The sequence below is a fragment of the Homo sapiens genome, chromosome 11 (genome assembly GCF_000001405.40).
Source record: "Homo sapiens chromosome 11, GRCh38.p14 Primary Assembly".
In the NCBI taxonomy this organism is placed as follows: Eukaryota; Metazoa; Chordata; class Mammalia; order Primates; family Hominidae; genus Homo; species Homo sapiens.
Window position 1 is genome coordinate 112,670,519 of NC_000011.10, and position 949 is coordinate 112,671,467.

At 56.4% G+C, this 949-nt stretch overlaps 1 annotated feature.

Moving 5' to 3' along the window:
- Positions 244-744: an enhancer, noted in NCBI's record as "H3K27ac hESC enhancer chr11:112541485-112541985 (GRCh37/hg19 assembly coordinates)". NCBI's record gives its function as "activates a minimal SCP1, AML or CMV promoter by ChIP-STARR-seq in primed H9 embryonic stem cells {active_cell/tissue: H9 hESC(primed)}" and the evidence as "EXISTENCE:reporter gene assay evidence [ECO:0000049][PMID:30033119]".

A 949-nucleotide genomic window follows, 5' to 3' on the forward strand; every position in this document is an offset into this window, starting at 1 on the left:
GAGAGTGCAAGGTGACTGCGGGCTGGAGCAGACCCCTAGCACGGCACAGCTGCTGTATGAAAAAACCACCAACTGCTTTTTTACAGAGGTCCCCAGTCCCATTCCTTTTAACTGGGTGGGACCTCCTGACTGGGGTCTCCAGCCACCCCCTCCAGTGCGTTTCAGCCAGCAACATGTCCATATCTCCCTGGGATGGAGCTCCCAGAGGGAGAAGCAGGGTGCCACGTTAGTTGTTTCACAGCCTTCACTGTCGATACCTTCAGGTACTGGAAAATCTAAGGTGACTAGGGACTGGAGCAGACCTTCAGCATACTCCAGCAGCCCTAGGAAAAGTGGCCAGACTGTTCGTTACATGGGTTCCTGATCCTGTATCTCCTCACTGGGTGGGTCCTCCCAGCCAGGGTCTCCAGCCACACCCTGCTGGGGCTATTGAGCCAGAAGCAGCTCTGCAACAACCTGGACAGAGCTCCCAGTGGGAGGGGCGGGTTGCCATCTTTGCCATCTTGCAGCCCTGGCCCTTGCTGTCTCCAGGCTCTGGAGAGTCCACAGGGGCCAGGAGGTGATGGAACCCCAGCACAGAGCACCTACCTTATGGAAATTGGCCGGGCTATTCTCCACGCAGGTGCTGGTCCTCACTTCTCCTCACTGGTTAGGGCCACTAGACCTGGGACTCAACACTACCACCCTGTCCCCACCTGACCACTTCAATCAGAGGCAGCCCAGCATTTCTCCAAAGAGGAAATCCCAGAGTCAACCTACAATTCCTCTGCTACTGCAGTGGCAGTGCTACTGCCCTAACAGTGCTCAGGCTGGAGAAAGAACAAAGGGCCTACTCACTATGCTGGCACCTCCAGCACAACGCAGCTACCATACAGAAAGGATGGTAGTTCTTCTTCCCTGGGAACCCCCATCCCCCACTCCACTAGGAAGGGCTCCCAGGTCATGATGG